The sequence below is a fragment of the Homo sapiens genome, chromosome 1 (assembly GCF_000001405.40).
Source record: "Homo sapiens chromosome 1, GRCh38.p14 Primary Assembly".
Lineage (NCBI taxonomy): Eukaryota > Metazoa > Chordata > Mammalia > Primates > Hominidae > Homo > Homo sapiens.
The window spans coordinates 1,236,599-1,253,911 of record NC_000001.11 but is presented as its reverse complement, the minus strand read 5'-3'; the positions used below and the strand labels follow the sequence as shown (position 1 = coordinate 1,253,911).

At 65.3% G+C, this 17,313-nt stretch overlaps 1 protein-coding gene across 6 annotated transcripts, besides 3 other annotated features; it reads left to right on the top strand.

Annotated features, from left to right (window-relative positions):
- Positions 2,479 to 2,758: an enhancer, noted in NCBI's record as "active region_14". NCBI's record gives its function as "activates an Ori minimal core promoter by ATAC-STARR-seq in GM12878 lymphoblastoid cells {active_cell/tissue: GM12878}" and the evidence as "EXISTENCE:reporter gene assay evidence [ECO:0000049][PMID:35858748]".
- Positions 5,685 to 6,465: an enhancer, noted in NCBI's record as "H3K27ac-H3K4me1 hESC enhancer chr1:1182827-1183607 (GRCh37/hg19 assembly coordinates)". NCBI's record gives its function as "activates a minimal SCP1, AML or CMV promoter by ChIP-STARR-seq in naive H9 embryonic stem cells {active_cell/tissue: H9 hESC(naive)}" and the evidence as "EXISTENCE:reporter gene assay evidence [ECO:0000049][PMID:30033119]".
- Positions 6,466 to 7,247: an enhancer, noted in NCBI's record as "H3K27ac-H3K4me1 hESC enhancer chr1:1182045-1182826 (GRCh37/hg19 assembly coordinates)". NCBI's record gives its function as "activates a minimal SCP1, AML or CMV promoter by ChIP-STARR-seq in naive H9 embryonic stem cells {active_cell/tissue: H9 hESC(naive)}" and the evidence as "EXISTENCE:reporter gene assay evidence [ECO:0000049][PMID:30033119]".
- C1QTNF12 (C1q and TNF related 12) lies at positions 6,632 to 11,459 on the top strand. Of its 6 annotated transcripts, none has more exons than XM_047419982.1 (8): positions 6,632 to 6,744; positions 9,415 to 9,531; positions 9,637 to 9,721; positions 9,807 to 9,958; positions 10,360 to 10,468; positions 10,760 to 10,850; positions 10,999 to 11,077; positions 11,266 to 11,459. In XM_047419982.1, exons 2-8 carry the CDS (start codon positions 9,454 to 9,456, stop codon positions 11,362 to 11,364), a joined length of 693 nt encoding a protein of 230 aa, XP_047275938.1. In that variant the 5' UTR covers positions 6,632 to 6,744; positions 9,415 to 9,453; the 3' UTR covers positions 11,365 to 11,459. The 6 variants fall into 6 exon arrangements, with proteins under 6 accessions (XP_047275938.1, XP_011539739.1, XP_011539738.1 ...); XM_011541437.2 differs by having other exon boundaries at positions 6,694 to 6,744; positions 10,746 to 10,850; XM_011541436.3 differs by lacking the exon at positions 6,632 to 6,744 and adding an exon at positions 7,190 to 7,398 and having other exon boundaries at positions 10,360 to 10,464.

Sequence of the window (17,313 nt, the reverse complement as noted above, 5' to 3'; positions counted from 1 at the left end):
TTTCATGCTGCTTGTGTCTGTGTGGGCCGGGATGTGTGTCCATCTCTGTGCTCAGGGCTGGGGTGGCCCGTGACCAGGGGGTCACACCTGCTGGCCTGGGGTGGTGTGGCAGCTGCAGGGCAGGTGGGTCCCCACAGGGAATCGCGTCGCTGGAGCCATGGTGTAGAGCCCTCTGCAGGGCTCTCTCCCCATCCCGTACTGGATGCCAGCCCTGCCCTGATCTCCGCTTCTGTGACCGCCAGCATCACTTCCAAAGCCCGGTGTCTCCCGAGGCTCATGGGAGGGGGAATGCTAACGAATAGAGTGTTTACTCAACACGCTACTGCCGGGTGCAGTGGCTGCCGCCTATAATCCCAGCACTTTGGGAGGCTGAGGGGTGGATCTCTTGAACCCAGCCTGGGCAATGTAGTGAGACCCCATCTCACAAAAAATACAAAACACTACCTGGTGTGGTGATGTGCACCTTTGGTCCCAGCTACTCAGGAGGCTGAGGTGGGAGGATTGCCTGAGCCCGGCAGGTGGAGGCTACAGTGAGCCATGATGGAGCCACCGCAATCCAGCCTGGGCAGCGAAGCCAGACCCTGTCTCAAATGTCGTCTAGATGTGAAATCTCAACTTTGTTTTTTTGTTTTTTGGAGACAAAGTCTTGCTCTGTTGTTGCCCAGTGTGGAGTGCAATGGTGCTATCATGGCTCCCTGTAACTGCAGGGTCCAGCCCTACTGGGCCTGTGGGTTCTTCTTGTGTACGGAGAGATGTGAGATCATAGAAATAAAGACACAAGACAGGGATAGAAGAAAAGACAGCTGGGCCCGGGGGACCACTACCACCTAGATGTGGAGGCCGGTAGTGGCCCCGAATGCCTGGCTGCGCTGTTATTTATTGGATACAAGGCAAGGGGGCAGGGTAAGGAGCGTGAGCCATCTCTAATGATAGGTAAGGTCACGTGTGTCTCGTGTCCACTGGACAGGGGGCCCTTCCCTGTTTGGCAGCCGAGGCGGAGAGAGAGAGAGGACAGCTTACACCATTCTTTCTTCTATGTATTTCAAAGACTTTTAGTACTTTCACTCATTGTGCTACTGCTATCTAGAAGGCGGAGCCCGGTGTACAGGGCGGACCACGAAAGCAGACCAGGAGTGTGACCGCTGAAGCACAGCATCACGGGGAGACGGGCCTCTGGATGGCTGCGGGTGGGCCTGACTGATGTCGCCTTGCACAAGAGATGGTGGAGCAGAGTCTTCTCTAACTCCCCCGGGGAAAAGGAGACTCCCTTTCCCCGTCTGCTAAGTAACTGGTGCCTTGCCAGGCGCTAGCGCTACCGCTAGACCAGGGACCCCTCTGGTGGCCCTGTCCGGGCGTGACAGAGGGCTCACACTCTTGTCTCCTGGTCACTTCTCACTATGTCCCCTCAGCTCCTATCTCTGTATGGCCTGGTTTTTCCTAGGTTATAGTTGTAGAACAGAGATTATTATAATATTGGAATGAAGAGTAATGCTAGAAACTAATGATTAAGAATATTCATATATCATCACATCTATAATCTATTTCTAGTGTAACTATTCTTATTGTGTATATTTTCTTTATTACACTGGAACAGCTCATGCCCTCGGTCTCTTGCCTCGGCACCTGGGTGGCTTGCCGCCCACATGTAACGGTGACCTCCTGGGCTCAAGGGATCCTCCAAACTCAGCCCCCTACATATCTGGGACCGCAAGTGTGCGCCACCATGCCTGGCTAATTTTTGTATTTTTTGTAGAGATGGAGTTTCGTCATGTTGCGCAGGCTGGTCTTGAACTCCTGAGCTCAAGGGATCCACCTGCCTCGGCCTCCCAAAGTGTTAGGATCACAGGCGTGAGCCACCGCGCCCGACTAAAATCTCAACTTTTTTTTTTTTTTTGAGACGGAGTCTTGCTCTGTCGCCCAGGCTGGAGTACAGTGGCGTGATCTCTGCTCACTGTGACCTCTGCCTCCTGGGTTCAAGTGATTCTCCTGCCTCAGCCTCCCAAGTAGCTGGGATTACAGGTGCCTGCCACCACACCCAGCTAATTTTAAGTAGAGACGGGGTTTCACCATATTGGCCAGGCTGGTCTGAAACTCCTGACCTCGTGATCTGCTTGCCTCAGCCTCCCAAAGTGCTGGGATTACAGGCGTGAGCCACCACGCCCAACTGAAATCTCAACTTTTAGCGATCATCGGTCAAGCAGTGAAGGTGGTGCCCGTGGCATGTTGTCCGCACTGGCCCAAAATAAAAAATGATGTTTGGGCCGGGCGTGGTGGCTCACTCCTGTAATCCCAGCGCTTTGGGAGGCTGAGGTGGGCAGATTACCTGAGGTCAGGAGTTCGAGACCAGCCTGGCCAACATGGTGAAACCCTGTCTCTACTGAAAATACAAAATTAGCCGGGCATGGTGGCATGTGCTTGTAATCCCAGCTACTCAGGAGGCTGAGGCAGGAGAATCACTCGAGTCCAGGAGGTGGAGGTTGCAGTGAGCCAAGATCGTGCCACTGCTCTCCAGCCTGGCTGACAGAGTGAGACTCTGTCTAAAAAAAAAAAAAAAATGATGTTTGGCCTGTTGGGCCGGGCACGTCTGACCCTCTGTCCCCGTCTCCCTTAGAGGAATCGTGGGCCCCTCTGTTCTTGTGTTGTCACCGGTGGAGGCCGTCCTTGACTTCCCCCTGGGAGCACGGTGTGTCCCCTCGCCATGCAGAGCACACTGTGAAGTCTTTTAATGAGGAGAGAAAAGCCCCTTAAAAGTTGATATTCTGCAGACAGGTGAGCACGTGGCCTCGTGGTCACAGGAAAGAAGAGGCGTTTCCTGTGTTCTGGCAACCTCGAGCTTCTCTGTGAGCGCATGCCCAGGCCTGCCTGAGTGCTGATGAACCAGCCGGCACAGCAGAGCACTCCGGGTCTGAGGGAGCTGCTCTCCCTGCAGCAGGCGGCTGGGCAGGGCACCGTGGTCCTTTGCCATTTTTCCAGGGCCGGGGGGTGTCAGGGTGTCTGCGTTGGGGGGTGCAGGGGGTGAGCAGAGCCAGCAGCTGCACCTGAGCCTCCCCTTGTGAGCAGCTCGTGGCTGTGGCCCAGGGTACCCTGGATCCTTGGTGGGTGACCCAGAGGGTGGGGTCCTCTTGGTCGTCTTCTAGAGGGAGCATGGGGGCTGAGTGTTCCTGCCTGGGTGCCAGGCTCAGCTCATTTTAAAGGTGCCTGGGGTTGGGAACACGAAGCCACATCCTTCCCAGTTAGGCCCAGCCTCCCAGGGTGAGGGCAGCAAGTCACCCAGGTGCCGAGGGAAGAGACCGAGGGCACAAGCTGTCCCAGTGTAACAAAATATATAAAATAAGAGTTATACTTGGTATAGACCATATGTGTCACTAATCATTAGTTTGTAGTAATTATTCTTTATTCCAATATTATAATAATCCTCGCTCTATAATCATAATCTAGGAAAAACCAGGCCATACCGAGATAGGAGCTGAGGGGACATGGTGAGAAGTGACCAGAAGACAAGAGTGCGAGCCTTCCGTTACGCCCGGACAGGGCCACCAGAGGGCTCCTTGGTCTAGCAGTAACGCCAGCGCCTGGGAAGGCACCCGTGACCTAAGCAGACCGTGGTCTAGCGGTAGCGTCAGTGTCAAGGGAAAACACCCGCTACTTAGCAGACTGGGAAGGGGAGTCTCCCTTTCCCCGGGGGAGTTTAGAGAAGACTCTACTCCTCCACCTCTTGTGGAGGGTCAGGCCCACCCACAGTTATCCGAAGGCCTAACCGTCTCCCTATGATGCTGTGCTTCAGCGGTCACACTCCTAGTCCGCCTTCACGTTCCATCCTGTACACCTGGCTTTGCCTTTTAGATAACAGTAGCAAAATTAGTGAAAGTACTAAAAGTCTCTGATAAGCAGAAATAATGGCGTAAGCTGTCTCTCTCTCTCCCTGGCCCCTGCCTTGGCTGCCAAACAGGGAAGGGCCCCCGTCCAGTGGACACGTGACCCACGTGACTTTACCTATCACTGGAGATGGCTCACGCTCCTTATCCTGCCCCTTTGTCTTGTATCCAATAAATAACAGCGCAGCCTGGCATTCGGGGCCACTACCGGTCTCCACATCTTGGTGGTAGTGGTCCCCCGGGCCCAGCTGTCTTTTTTATTTCTTTGTGTTGTATCTTTATTTCTACGATCTCTCATCTCCGCACACGGGGAGAAAAACCCACAAACCCTGTAGGGCTGCCCTCTACACCAGGGCTGCCCGTTTTCCTGCCTGTAGGGCAGAGGGGGAGGCCCAGCCTCCCTCGGTCTAGCCTCCCAGGGCTGCCCGTGTCCCGGCCTGTAGGGCGGAGTGGGAGGCCCAGCCTCCCTCGGTCCAGCCTCCCAGGGCTGCCCGTGTCCCGGCCTGTAGGGCGGAGTGGGAGGCCCAGCCTCCCTCGGTCCAGCCTCCCAGGGCTGCCCGTGTCCCGGCCTGTAGGGCGGAGTGGGAGGCCCAGCCTCCCTCGGTCCAGCCTCCCAGGGCTGCCCGTGTCCCGGCCTGTAGGGCGGAGTGGGAGGCCCAGCCTCCCTCGGTCCAGCCTCCCAGGGCTGCCCGTGTCCCGGCCTGTAGGGCGGAGTGGGAGGCCCAGCCTCCCTCGGTCCAGCCTCCCAGGGCTGCCCGTGTCCCGGCCTGTAGGGCGGAGTGGGAGGCCCAGCCTCCCTCGGTCCAGCCTCCCAGGGCTGCCCGTGTCCCGGCCTGTAGGGCGGAGTGGGAGGCCCAGCCTCCCTCGGTCCAGCCTCCCAGGGCTGCCCGTGTCCCGGCCTGTAGGGCGGAGTGGGAGGCCCAGCCTCCCTCGGTCCAGCCTCCCAGGGCTGCCCGTGTCCCGGCCTGTAGGGCGGAGTGGGAGGCCCAGCCTCCCTCGCTCCAGCCTCCCAGGGCTGCCCGTGTCCCGGCCTGTAGGGCGGAGTGGGAGGCCCAGCCTCCCTCGCTCCAGCCTCCCAGGGCTGCCCGTGTCCCGGCCTGTAGGGCGGAGTGGGAGGCCCAGCCTCCCTCGCTCCAGCCTCCCAGGGCTGCCCGTTTTCCTGCCTGTAGGGTAGAGTGGGAAGTCCAGCCTCCCTCGGTCCAGCCTCCCAGGGCTGCCCGTTTTCCTGCCTGTAGGGCAGAGTGGGAGGCCCAGCCTCCCTCGGTCTAGCCTCCCAGGGCTGCCCGTGTCCCGGCCTGTAGGGCGGAGTGGGAGGCCCAGCCTCCCTTGCTCCAGCCTCCCAGGGCTGCCTGTGTCCCGGCCTGTAGGGCAGAGTGGGAGGCCCAGCCTCCCTCGGTCCAGCCTCCCAGGGCTGCCTGTTTTCCTGCCTGTAGGGTAGATTGGGAAGTCCAGCCTCCCTTGGTCCAGCCTCCCAGGGCTGCCCGTTTTCCTGCCTGTAGGGCAGAGTGGGAGGCCCAGCCTCCCTCGGTCTAGCCTCCCAGGGCTGCCTGTGTCCCGGCCTATAGGGCAGAGTGGGAGGCCCAGCCTCCCTCGGTCCAGCCTCCCAGGGCTGCCTGTTTTCCTGCCTGTAGGGTAGAGTGGGAAGTCCAGCCTCCCTTGGTCCAGCCTCCCAGGGCTGCCCGTTTTCCTGCCTGTAGGGCAGAGGGGGAGGCCCAGCCTCCCTCGGTACAGCCTCCCAGGGCTGCCTGTGTCCCGGCCTGTAGGGTAGATGGGAGGCCCAGCCTCCCTCGGTCTAGCCTCCCAGGGCTGCCCGTGTCCTGGCCTGTAGGGTGGAGTGGGAGGCCCAGCCTCCCTCGGTCCAGCCTCCCAGGGCTGCCCATTTTCCTGCGTGTAGGCCTGAGTGGGAAGTCCAGCCTCCCTCAGTCCAGCCTCCCAGGGCTGCCCACTTTCCTGCCTGTAGGTCAGAGTTGGAGATCCAGCCTGTTCTGTCTAGAGTCACAGGGGAGCTCATTGCCAGTGGGTGACAGAGAAAATTTGGATGCCCTGCCTGTGAGGAGGGGTCTGGTAGCCCTGGGCGGGGGGTCTCCTTGGCCAGGGCACCTGCCCACCCCTCCCTTTGCCCCAAGCCTGGATTGAGGGGTGTTGGGGCTGCCTTTCCCGACCCATGCTAGATGCAGGCCACATCCAGGGCTCACCTGCGGGGGTCCAGCAGGGCTGGTACTGTGTGGGCGCTGTGCCGTGTCCCCAGGGTCCTCCACCACCTTCACGAGCGGACACGGGGCCGGGAGGCTTCCACAGTGCTCTCTGGAGATGCCAGTCAGTGCCTGAGAGCCCGGAGGGCGAGGGGGCAGCCGGGGTCCCTGGTGGGTTCCCAAGCGTCATCCCCATCCCAGCCTGGTCTCCCGTGGCTCTGCCTGTGGATGTGGCCTGGGGCTGGGGTTGACGCTGGGGTCTCGGCGTGGCTACCTTCGTGTCTGGCAAGAGGGGAGGGTCTGGAGTGTTCCGAGCTGTCCATCAGGGCCGGCATGTTGACCTTGGGCCACTGTTAGCCTCGGCCAGGACCAGCGGCTGGAGGGTCTTCCAGCCCCACCTGGCCACCCCATTCCTCCAGCCACTGAGCCCAAGGGGCCTGTCGCCATGATCTGGCCTCACCTTTCCCCCGAGTGGGGCCCCAGCGAGGCCGGCCAGCACCCCCAGGACCCTGGGCCGGGGCCGTGAGTCAGGGCGGGGCACCCGGGGGAGCCTGGGTGAGGAGGTCGTGGGAAGGGGCTGGGGCTTTGGCTGGCTGGTAGCTGCCCTCCGGTGGCTGGCTGCAGAGGCTGCTGTGAGGGGAGCCAGGTTGAGTTCAGCTGGCAGGGAGGGCGAGGAGGTAGGCTGCTGTCTTCACGGTTCCCAGAATGAGGTGGACCTTTGGGGAAGCAATGGGGGCAGGGTGGGGTCTGGGGACGGGAGGCAAGAAGCAGCGGCCGGGGTCAGTGGGGGTCTCCGCCCCGTCTCCGTCCCTGGCCGTCGGGGCGCCCGGGCGGCTGGCTGATCGTCCGAGTGTGAGCCCCCACCCTGGAGCCTGCGAGGTCTGGGGAGGAGGAGGCGAGGGGAGGATTTACTGGGCGGCGGAGTGAGGAGGCCAGAGAGGACGGGGGCTGGGAGCGGGGGCTGGAGCGGGACCCCGGGGGGACCTGAGCGCCGTCGCGCCGCCGTTCCGGGCAGGTCCGCGCAGACATGCAGCGGCGGAGGCCGGGCGCGCCCCTGGGCCTCGCCCCCGCGCGGGGGCTCTGAGCGCCGGCCGTCCCCATGACTGCGCCCTGGCGCCGAGACTCGCCGCGCTGAGCCGCCTCGGGACGGAGCCATGCGGCGCTGGGCCTGGGCCGCGGTCGTGGTCCTCCTCGGGCCGCAGCTCGTGCTCCTCGGGGGCGTCGGGGCCCGGCGGGAGGCACAGAGGACGCAGCAGCCTGGCCAGCGCGCAGATCCCCCCAACGCCACCGCCAGCGCGTCCTCCCGCGAGGGGCTGCCCGAGGCCCCCAAGGTACGCGGCCGGGACGCACGTGGGCCCTCGCGGGGCAGCTTCGGAGCTGGGGCTCTGGGGCGTCCTCCCCCAGCAGGCTCTGTCCCTGCCGGCTCTGCCTCCGGGTCGCCCTTTTCGAGGCCTCGGCCACGGTCCCGCCTTGAGAATCTGCTGCAGCCCAGCCAGGCCGGCCTCTGGGAAGCCCTCTCCTCCTCTGCAGCGGAGACCTGGCCCCCAGCTGGCCTGGGGTGGGTGGGTGAAGGGGGCTTCCCGCGGTTGGGGGCCGCAGTTAACCCTTTGAAGCGTGGGCCTGCCGCGCTCTGAGGAACCTGTTGCTATTAGGTTAATTGCTGATTTGGGGGCGGGGGTGGGGTGGTTCCGGCTGCTTGCTGGATGGTTCACCAGACCCCTTGGGAGTCCAGCGCCCCATGACTCCTGCGGCTGGAGACGCCATGGCGAGCCTGTCCCTTGTGCTTTCTGGGGGTCCTGTGTAGCTAGCACCCCCTCTTGCGGGTTAAGTCCTGGGGCCCCAGTCAGGCCGGGCGTCCTCACAAAGACAGAAGGCCCCAAGCCCACCTCAACCCTGGGCTTCCTCTCTCCTGCTCAGGGTCTCTCCAGGGGTCTTGGAGGGCAGGTCTTGCTGCCGCCGTCGTGGGCCCCAGGACTGGGAGGGGAGCCGCAGTTGCCAGAGCAGCCCCCATCCCCGGCCCTCACACCTTTGATGCTGGTCTCCCTCCTCCCGAGGGCGTCTCTGCTGCAGCCAGCCCGGCTGCCTCTCAGCCCACGCGGCCCCGCTGGAGCCCGAGGTCCCGTTTCCCAGATGGGAAGGCTGAGGAGGGTTGAGGCCGCGGCTCTGCCAGCTCAGGAAGAGTGGGCTGGTTCCCGGCGCTAGGGCCAGGCTGGCAGTGCTGGCAGGGGCGGGGCAGTGGGGGGGTCTTCAGCAGTCCGGGCCAGTCCCCCTGGAAGGGAGGGGGCACCCCACTGCCCAGGGCCACTCCTCCAGAGACCCTGCAGGGTGGCGGGCCTCCCTCAAAGGGTGCCGGCTGGAGGGCTGTGAGGTGTGTGCTCAGGCTGGCCCTCCAGGCTTCCAGGGTTGGGCGGTTCTCCTGCAGCCTGCTCTCTGTTGCCTCTGGCTCTCAGCCCCCAGATAGGCTGAGGTACAGGCCCCTCCAGGGCGCCGGGTCCCTTCAGCACATTGCGGTGGTGGTCAACAGGACAGCAAGCGGATAGCGGATGCCTGAGGAGTGGGGGAGGAATGGGGGGAGGAGAGGGTAGGGTGGGGGGAGGAGGGGAGAGGTGTGGGGGAGGAGGGGAGAAGAGTGCGGGGAGGAGGGGGAAGAGTGGGGGGAGGAGGGTGAAAAGTGGGGGAGGAGGGGGAGTGGGGGAGGAGGGAGATGAGTGGGGGAAGGAGTGGGATGAGGAGTGGGGGGAAGGAGTGGGATGAGGAGTAGGGGGAGGAGGGGGGAGTGGGGGAGGAGGGGGATGAGGAGTGGGGGGAGGAGGGGGAGGAGTGGGAGAGGAGGGCAGAGGAGTGGGGGAGGAGGGAGATGAGTGGGGGAAGGAGTGGGGGAGGAGGGGAGAGGAATGGGGAGGAGTGGGGGGAAGAGGGGGAAGAGGAGGAGGAGGGGGAGGTGGGAAAGGAGGGGAGAGGAGGGAGATGAGTGGGGGAAGGAGTGGGATGAGGAGTGGGGGGAGGAGGGAGATGAGTGGGGGAAGGAGTGGGATGAGGAGTGGGGGAGGAGGGAGATGAGTGGGGGAAGGAGTGGGATGAGGAGTGGGGGGAGGAGGGGGAGGAGTGGGGGAGGAGTGAGGGGCTCAGGGCATCAGGCTCTGGCTGTGTCCACAGAAGCCCCGCATGCCTGCCCTGCTGGTGGCATTGGGACGTCAGGGTTCTGACTCCCCCAAGGGCGGCCGTGGGTCCTTCTCCTGGCCGGCGATGCCTTCCCTGGTTCTGCCCTGAGTGCTCCCCGCTGCCCTGGGGTCCCAGCTCTCTGCAGGGTGCAGCCTCAGTGCGCTAGCCCCGTCCCGTCCCTTCAGCCATCCCAGGCCTCAGGACCTGAGTTCTCCGACGCCCACATGACATGGCTGAACTTTGTCCGGCGGCCGGACGACGGCGCCTTAAGGAAGCGGTGCGGAAGCAGGGACAAGAAGCCGGTGAGCCCCGCCCGGGCTGCTGCAGGGTCTGAGCCCCGGACAGGGTGTGGTGGTAGCTCCCACCGGGTCCCACTGGGCCCCTCACCTGCTTCTCTCTCCCCCCAGCGGGATCTCTTCGGTCCCCCAGGACCTCCAGGTGCAGAAGTGACCGCGGAGACTCTGCTTCACGAGTTTCAGGAGCTGCTGAAAGGTCAGCCGCCCTGCACTGCCCAGAGACCAGACGTGCCTGGGCCCTGTGCTGACCCTGCTGGCCGCCTGTGCCCTCCTCCCCACAGAGGCCACGGAGCGCCGGTTCTCAGGGCTTCTGGACCCGCTGCTGCCCCAGGGGGCGGGCCTGCGGCTGGTGGGCGAGGCCTTTCACTGCCGGCTGCAGGGTCCCCGCCGGGTGGACAAGCGGACGCTGGTGGAGCTGCATGGTTTCCAGGCTGTGAGTGGAGCCGGGAGCTTAGAGCGGGGTGTTGGGTGGGGCCCCACAGGCAAGACGGGACCACACACACCGCCTGACACTCATGGGGCAGCATGTGGGTTGGGGGCTGGGGGCGGGGCTCGGAGGGCGAGGGGCTGCCTCGGGTCAGGGTTGGGAGGCCCTGGGGGCCCAGATCACACTTTATGCCCAGACGGAGCGTGGGTCCCCGGTAGCCGGGAGGCAGGGAGACCCTCCTGGGTGTGGACTCGAGGGTCAGTCCTGCTGGTGCCCACAGTGAGCGTGAGGGTCCCGGGAGAGCTGCTCCGAGTGAGGGGCTGTCGGTTGCAGGCACCTTCCCCAGGCGGGGTCTGTGGGGTGGGGGCCAGGCCCTGCGCTGGCCGCTCACCCACTGCCCCTCACAGCCTGCTGCCCAAGGTGCCTTCCTGCGAGGCTCCGGTCTGAGCCTGGCCTCGGGTCGGTTCACGGCCCCCGTGTCCGGCATCTTCCAGTTCTCTGCCAGTCTGCACGTGGGTGAGCCGGATGGGGCAGTGCCGTGTGCTGTGACGGGGCTGGGGCTGAGCTTTCTGGGGGCGCCTGGCATCGCCGGCCCCGGGTGCGGGTCCTGTTAGGGACCTATCCCCTGCCCCATGGGGGGCCTTGGACTGGGCATGGGGTCCCTGCTGCACGCCTGGCCTCAGGCGCCCCCTCCCCAGCCCCAGCAGCCACTCCTGGGCCTGTCCTGGGATGTGTGCCCTGAAGCCCCTCCCCACCAGCCCCCACCCCGCCCCCCATGCACCACCCTCCCCAGGGCTCTCTCCGCAGACCACAGTGAGCTGCAGGGCAAGGCCCGGCTGCGGGCCCGGGACGTGGTGTGTGTTCTCATCTGTATTGAGTCCCTGTGCCAGCGCCACACGTGAGTGACCTCAGCCCCCGCTCCAGGCGGCAGCCCCCGGACCACCCTTGGAGGGGCTCACAGGCCACAGGGGTCTCTGGGCACTGGAGCAGGTCTTGGCCCCCTGGACCTGCAACGCCTCCCTCTTGCCCTGTGGGGCTGTGTTCAGGTGCCTGGAGGCCGTCTCAGGCCTGGAGAGCAACAGCAGGGTCTTCACGCTACAGGTGCAGGGGCTGCTGCAGCTGCAGGTGAGTCCGGGCCGGGTGTGAGCGGGAGGGCTCGGGTGCACTCGGGCTGGGCCGGGTGTGAGCTCGGTGCACTCAGGGCGCAGACCTCTGGGGCCTCGGCACCTCCTAGCGCAGGGCAGGTGGGCAGACGTTGGCCACCGAGTGGCTGGGCTGTGGCTGCGGTTGTGACGTCCCCGTGCTTCTTACAGGCTGGACAGTACGCTTCTGTGTTTGTGGACAATGGCTCCGGGGCCGTCCTCACCATCCAGGCGGGCTCCAGCTTCTCCGGGCTGCTCCTGGGCACGTGAGGGCGCCCAGGGGGGCTGGCGAGGAGCTGCCGCCGGATCCCGGGGACCCTCCTACTGATGCCCGTGGTCACCACAATAAAGAGCCCTCCACCCTCCCCACTGCCTTCGAGTGCTGCCTGGATGTTTCACTGGGGGTGGAAGCCAGGCTGCCGAGGTCGGCGGGAGATGGGTGGGGGCAGAAGGGTGCTGTTCACAGGGGAGCCCGGTAGCTTGGGGTATGGGCCGTAGAGCCTCCCTCGGGGCCGACTTACCTGGCCCGGGATTATGGTGATGGCAAGAGGCTGGGCGCTGCCCTGGTAGCCCCTGCAGGGGCCACGTCGACCCTGAGGACAAGGACCACTGTCCGTGCCGGCCCCACTCAGCTCTGCCCACGGCCTGTCCAGCCTTGGGGGAGCAGCAGGCCGTGGGGCACTGGAAGCCCCAGAGGTTGGAGAGCAGCACTGTTCTGGGCCCTCGGGAGGCCTGCGTCCTGTGGGGGGCTCTGTGCAGGGCAAGAGGACGTGCATGCCACACACGGGACCGCGTGCTTGCATGTGCTGGCCGCCGCAGGCGTGTGGAGCTGAAAGGCACCCCTGCGGGCTCAGGTGCGCCCAGACCGTGCCGTGCCCGGGGCACCCAGGTGGAGCAGGGCTGGAACCAGCAGGCTTCTCCTCGCCTGCTCTCGGTATGGCCGCACTCTAATGACCAGGGCCTCTCGGGGGCCTTAGGGGCCAGAACTGCCCCATGGAGGGTGGGGTGGGCCCCATATGTGACCATCATGCTGCTGCTCCCTGGCAGGTCCTGTGGATTTGGGCCCCACCCCCACCCCATTTTGGCTCTGGCAAACCCACACCAAAGAGTGTAAACTGGCCTCAGGACGTCCAGGCCTCTGCTGAGCTGCGGAGATGCCATCTCTGGTTGGCATCCAGAGCCCTTAGTCGCTGGTGGGGTTGGGGAGGTTGGAAGAGGCCAGAGCCCACGGCTGTTACCCCTCCCCTGGGACCTGGAGCTGCCGGGGCTGGCACAGAAGGGGCCCTCCCCAAGGCTTGCTGGGCAGTGAGGCGGGACAGCCCAGCCCTGCGACGAGGTGTGTGGGCAGGCGCCAATCGGCACGAGGTGGGCTTGGGTGGTGACCCGTCCCCACCTCTCTCCCTGGGCCCCCCAGAGTGGCGTCAGGGGCTGGGGCTGTCTGGAGGGGCCTCTGCTTCACTTGCCAAGGCTGTGGCCCCGGCTTAGGGGCTCCTCTCTGCCCTCAGCACCCCTTCTGTGGGCACGGCCTGCCCCCTGGGGCCTGGATCTGGAACGGGGGGTCTCCCTTCTGCAGCCCCTGCCCTGCTTGGCCACAGCACTCAAGAGTGCTCCCTTCCAGAGAGTCGGGCAGCTGTGCATCTGTACAGGGGGAACCAAGGTTGTGCCGGGCCCTCCTGGAGCTGGGTCAGCGGGGACAGCAGTGTGGGGGCCCTGAGGAGGCAGAGGCAGGAGCGTGGCCTGCACCTTCCTGGTTGGCGTGAGCCCTGGGCTGCGGACTCCCCTGTTTGCTTCCAGTTTTCAGTGGCTCCTCCCCAAACTGACGGGCCAACCCTGGGCAAGAACGGGCTGGGGGCAGGCACCCAGGATCAGGCAGCACCCAGCCAGGCCTTTCTGAACACCGCCTGGGGCCTCACCATCCGGGAATGGGGGCCCTCTAGGTTCTTCAGCAGCAGCCAGTCCCCCACCCTACCCAGTCCCGGAGGTAGGAGCTGTGATGACAGATGGACATGCCAGAAATGGGACCCAGGGCCGCGTAGAGCAAGATGGTGATGAGAGACAAAGAGACGTGGAGTGGTGGGGCGGGGGGCCGGGGCTGAATGAGTTGGGGGCCAGGGCCCGGGTGAATGGGGGCGGCGGGGGCTGGGGCAGGGACCACGGCCGGGGTGAATGAGGTGGGGGATGGGGGCTGGTCGGGGGTGGCTGGGGGCTGGCATGGGGGCCAGGGTGAATGGGGGGGGCTGGGGCCAGGGTGAATGGGGGGCGTGGGGATGTCCTGGTGCTGGCACCACCTCCCTGGCCTCTGCCTCCTGGTTTCTGCCCCAGTGGGAGGTGATCAGCCACTTAGCCGCAATTCCCCTGGAATGTGCCATCTCTAGCCCCCTCTGGGCACCCAGGAGCAAAGGAATGGACAGGTCGGGGTGGGGTGGGCGGCCTCACAGGAGGGTCCAGGCTCCCAGCCCACCCAGCCAAGGCTCCATCCTCTGGCCCAGCCCAGCTGCACCCCTTCATTCTCTCTCAGCCTCACCTCCTGGGCTGGACCCACACTGCAATGTTTGCCATAGAAGGGACCCTGGACTCTTGACGAGGGTGGGAGATGCCTGTCACTCACCCAGCCGGAGCGTGGGGTCCCCGGGGCAGGTGCAGGCCAGCCAGAGCTGCTGTTGCTTGGGGTCTGGGCTGGCTGGGGGACCTGGGGAGCCCAGGGAAACGGATCTCTTCAGGCCTGTGCCCCCCGGTTTGGGAGCTGGGGTATTGAGTGTCCCAAGCGTCTGGCAGCTTCGTGGACCCTGGCAGGAGCAAAGCCAGAGCAGCCGGCTACGTGCCGGACGGCCTCAACCCGACCCCTGACCCCTGACCCTTGACCCCATGCCCTGAGCGGCAGGGAGCTGCCGGCTTCTCCGTGACCTCCACCAGGGCTGACTTCCCAGAACCGCAGGCCGACCCTGCTGCCTGGCCGGGGCTGGGGGCATCGGACACTCCTGCCGTGGGCTCCCTGCCATCCTGGGAGGGGCCATGCCCGGTGCGGGGACACTCCCCCCACCAACCCTCCAGCTCGTCTGCTCACAGGACCAGCCCTTCCCTAGAGTCCCAGCGCTGGACCTGCCTGACCCACCCTGCCCCGGGGCTGCCTCGGCTGGGTCGGAGCCAGTATTCCCAGCCCTGGTGCTGTCCTGGTCTTGAATGGACAGAAATGCGGACGGGAGCTCAGGGCAGCCAGGAAGTCCTCTTGGGGCCAGGTGCGGCAGCCACCCTGAGGGGGCAGCAGGAGCCAGGGGAGGCAGGGCTGGGGGCTCCTGGCTGTGAGGAGGAGGCTGGGCCCCGCTCCGGCCCCGCCTGTCAGGTGTGGACACCATTGCCCATCCGTCCCCGGTGCCTCAAGGGCCCCACTGTTGGGGTACGTAGGAGATGCGGCTGCCCTGGCCTGGCCCCTGGGGGCGCCTGGGTGTGGACCCTGGGGCTGCAGCCAGGACAGGCAGGCGCTGGAGGCCCAGCTTTGGCATCTTGTCTTCGCATCCTTCTCCCCGCCTCTGTCACCCCTGCCGCCCCTGCCGCCCTGCAGCTGGGAGGGTGTCTGCTCCAAAGGCCCCTCGGACTGCCTGCCAGCCTCTCTGGAGTAAGCCCAGGGCGTTCCTGGGGCCTGTCCCAGACCCCAGACCACACCACACCTGGTGACCACTGTCATCTGGGCCTTGGAACAAGAATGGCCTGGGGGCATGTAGGGGCTGTGTAGGGTCCAAACAGACCTGCCTGCCCTGCTTTGTAAAAATCTATGTACCCAGGTGCCCCGTGTTGACCCCGGGTTGACAGTTGTGTGTCCCTGCGACTGGTGCGTGTGTGCCCACGTGTCTGCACATCTGTGTGGGTCTCTGCCCTGGGACTGGGACTCTCTACAGAGCCAGCAGCACGGCCCCCTTGAGAACAAACCCAGAACAGCCGTCCAGGACCCCGGGCCCGAGCGCTTGGCTGGCCACTCAGTGCCTGGAGCGGGCGTGGCCGGGGTCCCTGGCGTCCGGGAGGCCACATAGCTTCGGTCCTGCCAGGGACAGCAGAGGGGCCCATGGAGCTGTGACGGCTGCTTCGGCATGTGGGGCTCCCTGAACTGCGTGAAGGGGTCCAGGGACGGGGCTCCCACCCTCAGCTGGGGGCTGCTCAGCGCGCTGTCCCAAGGGGAAGCTCTTTCCTGCCTGCAGAGCGCTGCCCTGGGATCTGCTGTGCTCCGACGCCGCTGGGAGCTGGAGCTGGGGGCAGAGCTCGGCGCCGCGTCCTGGGGCCGTCGCTCACGGGCTGGGCTTGGCCAGTCTGTGCTTGGACTCCCAGTTCAGGTCACTCTGAGCTATGGTGACCTCAGGGCCTGTCCCCCAGGGGTCTCCCTCAGCCTGACCCTGACCCAGGAATGGCAGCGTGTCTGGTTGCGGGAACACGCCCTGGCCCTGCCTGTGCCTGCCGAGCCACCGGCGTGTCTGTCCGCCTGCGCATCTGACTGCTGTACAGGTGGGCCTGGCACCAGAGGCCTGGGGACAAAGGGTCTTTGTTTGGGAGGCTGGGGGCAGCCCCTGCTCTGGGCCAGTGACTCACGGGTGCCCGGGCGTGATGATATCTGTGTTGCGACAGCCAGGTGTCATGCGTGTGACCCAGCCCAGCAGGGCCTCCTGCCCACCCCGCCCGCGCCCACGGCCCTCACTTGGGGGTGACGAGAAGCGTGACAGGTGGGGGCTGGGCAAACCCCGTCTCCGCAGGGAAGCGTCTCCAGACCCCTTGGGCCCCCAGCCCGCACGCCCGGGCCTCTCCCTGCCACACAGGAGTGTGCAAAACACATCTCTGCAGCAGGAGGCACCACGGCCGGACTCAGGCCCTCGGGACGGGTGCTTTTTAGGCTGAGTTCAGCTGTTCCTGGGTCGGAAGGTCTGGGTGAGGCGGTTGAGGGTGAGGCACCGTGACCGTCGCCCCGGCGGGGACTTGGGCCTGGCTCTGCCCATCCCTCACTCTCTCTCCGGTCTGAGGTGGGCGGTGGCGGGTGCGGGGCCCCTGGGGGAGGCTGGGGCCGCTGAGACCTTCGGATGCCACCGGAGGGAGGGCCTGGGGCTTGGGTTTCCTTCTGCTCCAGTCACCGGGCTGGGTCCGGCCCTGGGTCAGCGGGGAGGGGAGCTGGACTGCGGCCCTCCTGGGCTCCTGTCCTGCCTGCCCGGCCGGCCCTGGAAGATCTGCGGCCACCTGTGTTTACTCTGGAGGATGCAGCTGAGGAGGTCCTGGCAGGGCCACACTCGTAACCCCTGGCTTCTCAGCTGTGGGCGCGGTCTTGCACCCTGGCTAGCTGAGTTGAGGGGACTTTGCGGCATCTGTGGCCCCGACCAGGGCAGAGTACCCGAGCCCCAGCCCAAGGAGAGGCCTCGCTGGGCAACGCGACCAGGACAGAGGCCGAGGCTGGATGGGTGGGGAGCGCCTGGGGCCTTCCAGATCCTCCTTCCTGCCCCTCCCGCCTCCACCTCCCTTCAGCCCCTTGGCTGCAGCCAGCTCTCCTGGGATCACTCATCCACTGTCTACCTCCACTGGGAACCTCGGTGAGGGAGGCTCAGATCCTTGGGGAGGGAGGAGGGGGTGGGCCCCAGAGAGACCTTCCGAGGAGGACAGGGTGGGGCCAGATCTTGGTTCTTCTCCTCGGGTGGTTCTGACCTGGCCAGCGTGGTGCAGTGTGGCCATCAGGGCAGGGCTAGCGGCACCAGCATCTAGCAGGGAGGGTGCGGAGGGCAGGGAGGCCAGAGAAGGAGGGGCTGTGAGTGCTGGGGGTGGGGACCCACCCTGGCCCTGAGGGAAAGGAGTGTGTACACCCACAGAGGCCAACTTGATGGGGTGGCCTGGGTTTCAGCTCCCAAGGCTGTGGGAAGGTCCTCTGGGTGGGGGCTGGGAGGAGACCTCAAGGGGAGGCCCAGGGGTTTGGGCTGTGCCCCCTCAAAAGCCTCCTCTTTGAGGACCCCAGAGATTGGCCAGGCCTGTGGGATGGACACAGAGGTCTTTCCCCTCAGCCCACAGTGGGAGAGGGAGACGCCAGCTCACCTCAGAGTAGGAAACCAGGAAAAAGCGCCAAGCCCTTCCCAGGCCCCTGAAACCAGGGAGCAGGCCCCACACAGCCAGTCCAAGGAGCTGGAAACTTCTGACAGGCTGCTGTGGGCCCAGGAAGCAGGGCCTTGCGCGAACAAGGGGCCTCCTCTCTCCTCCCGGCCC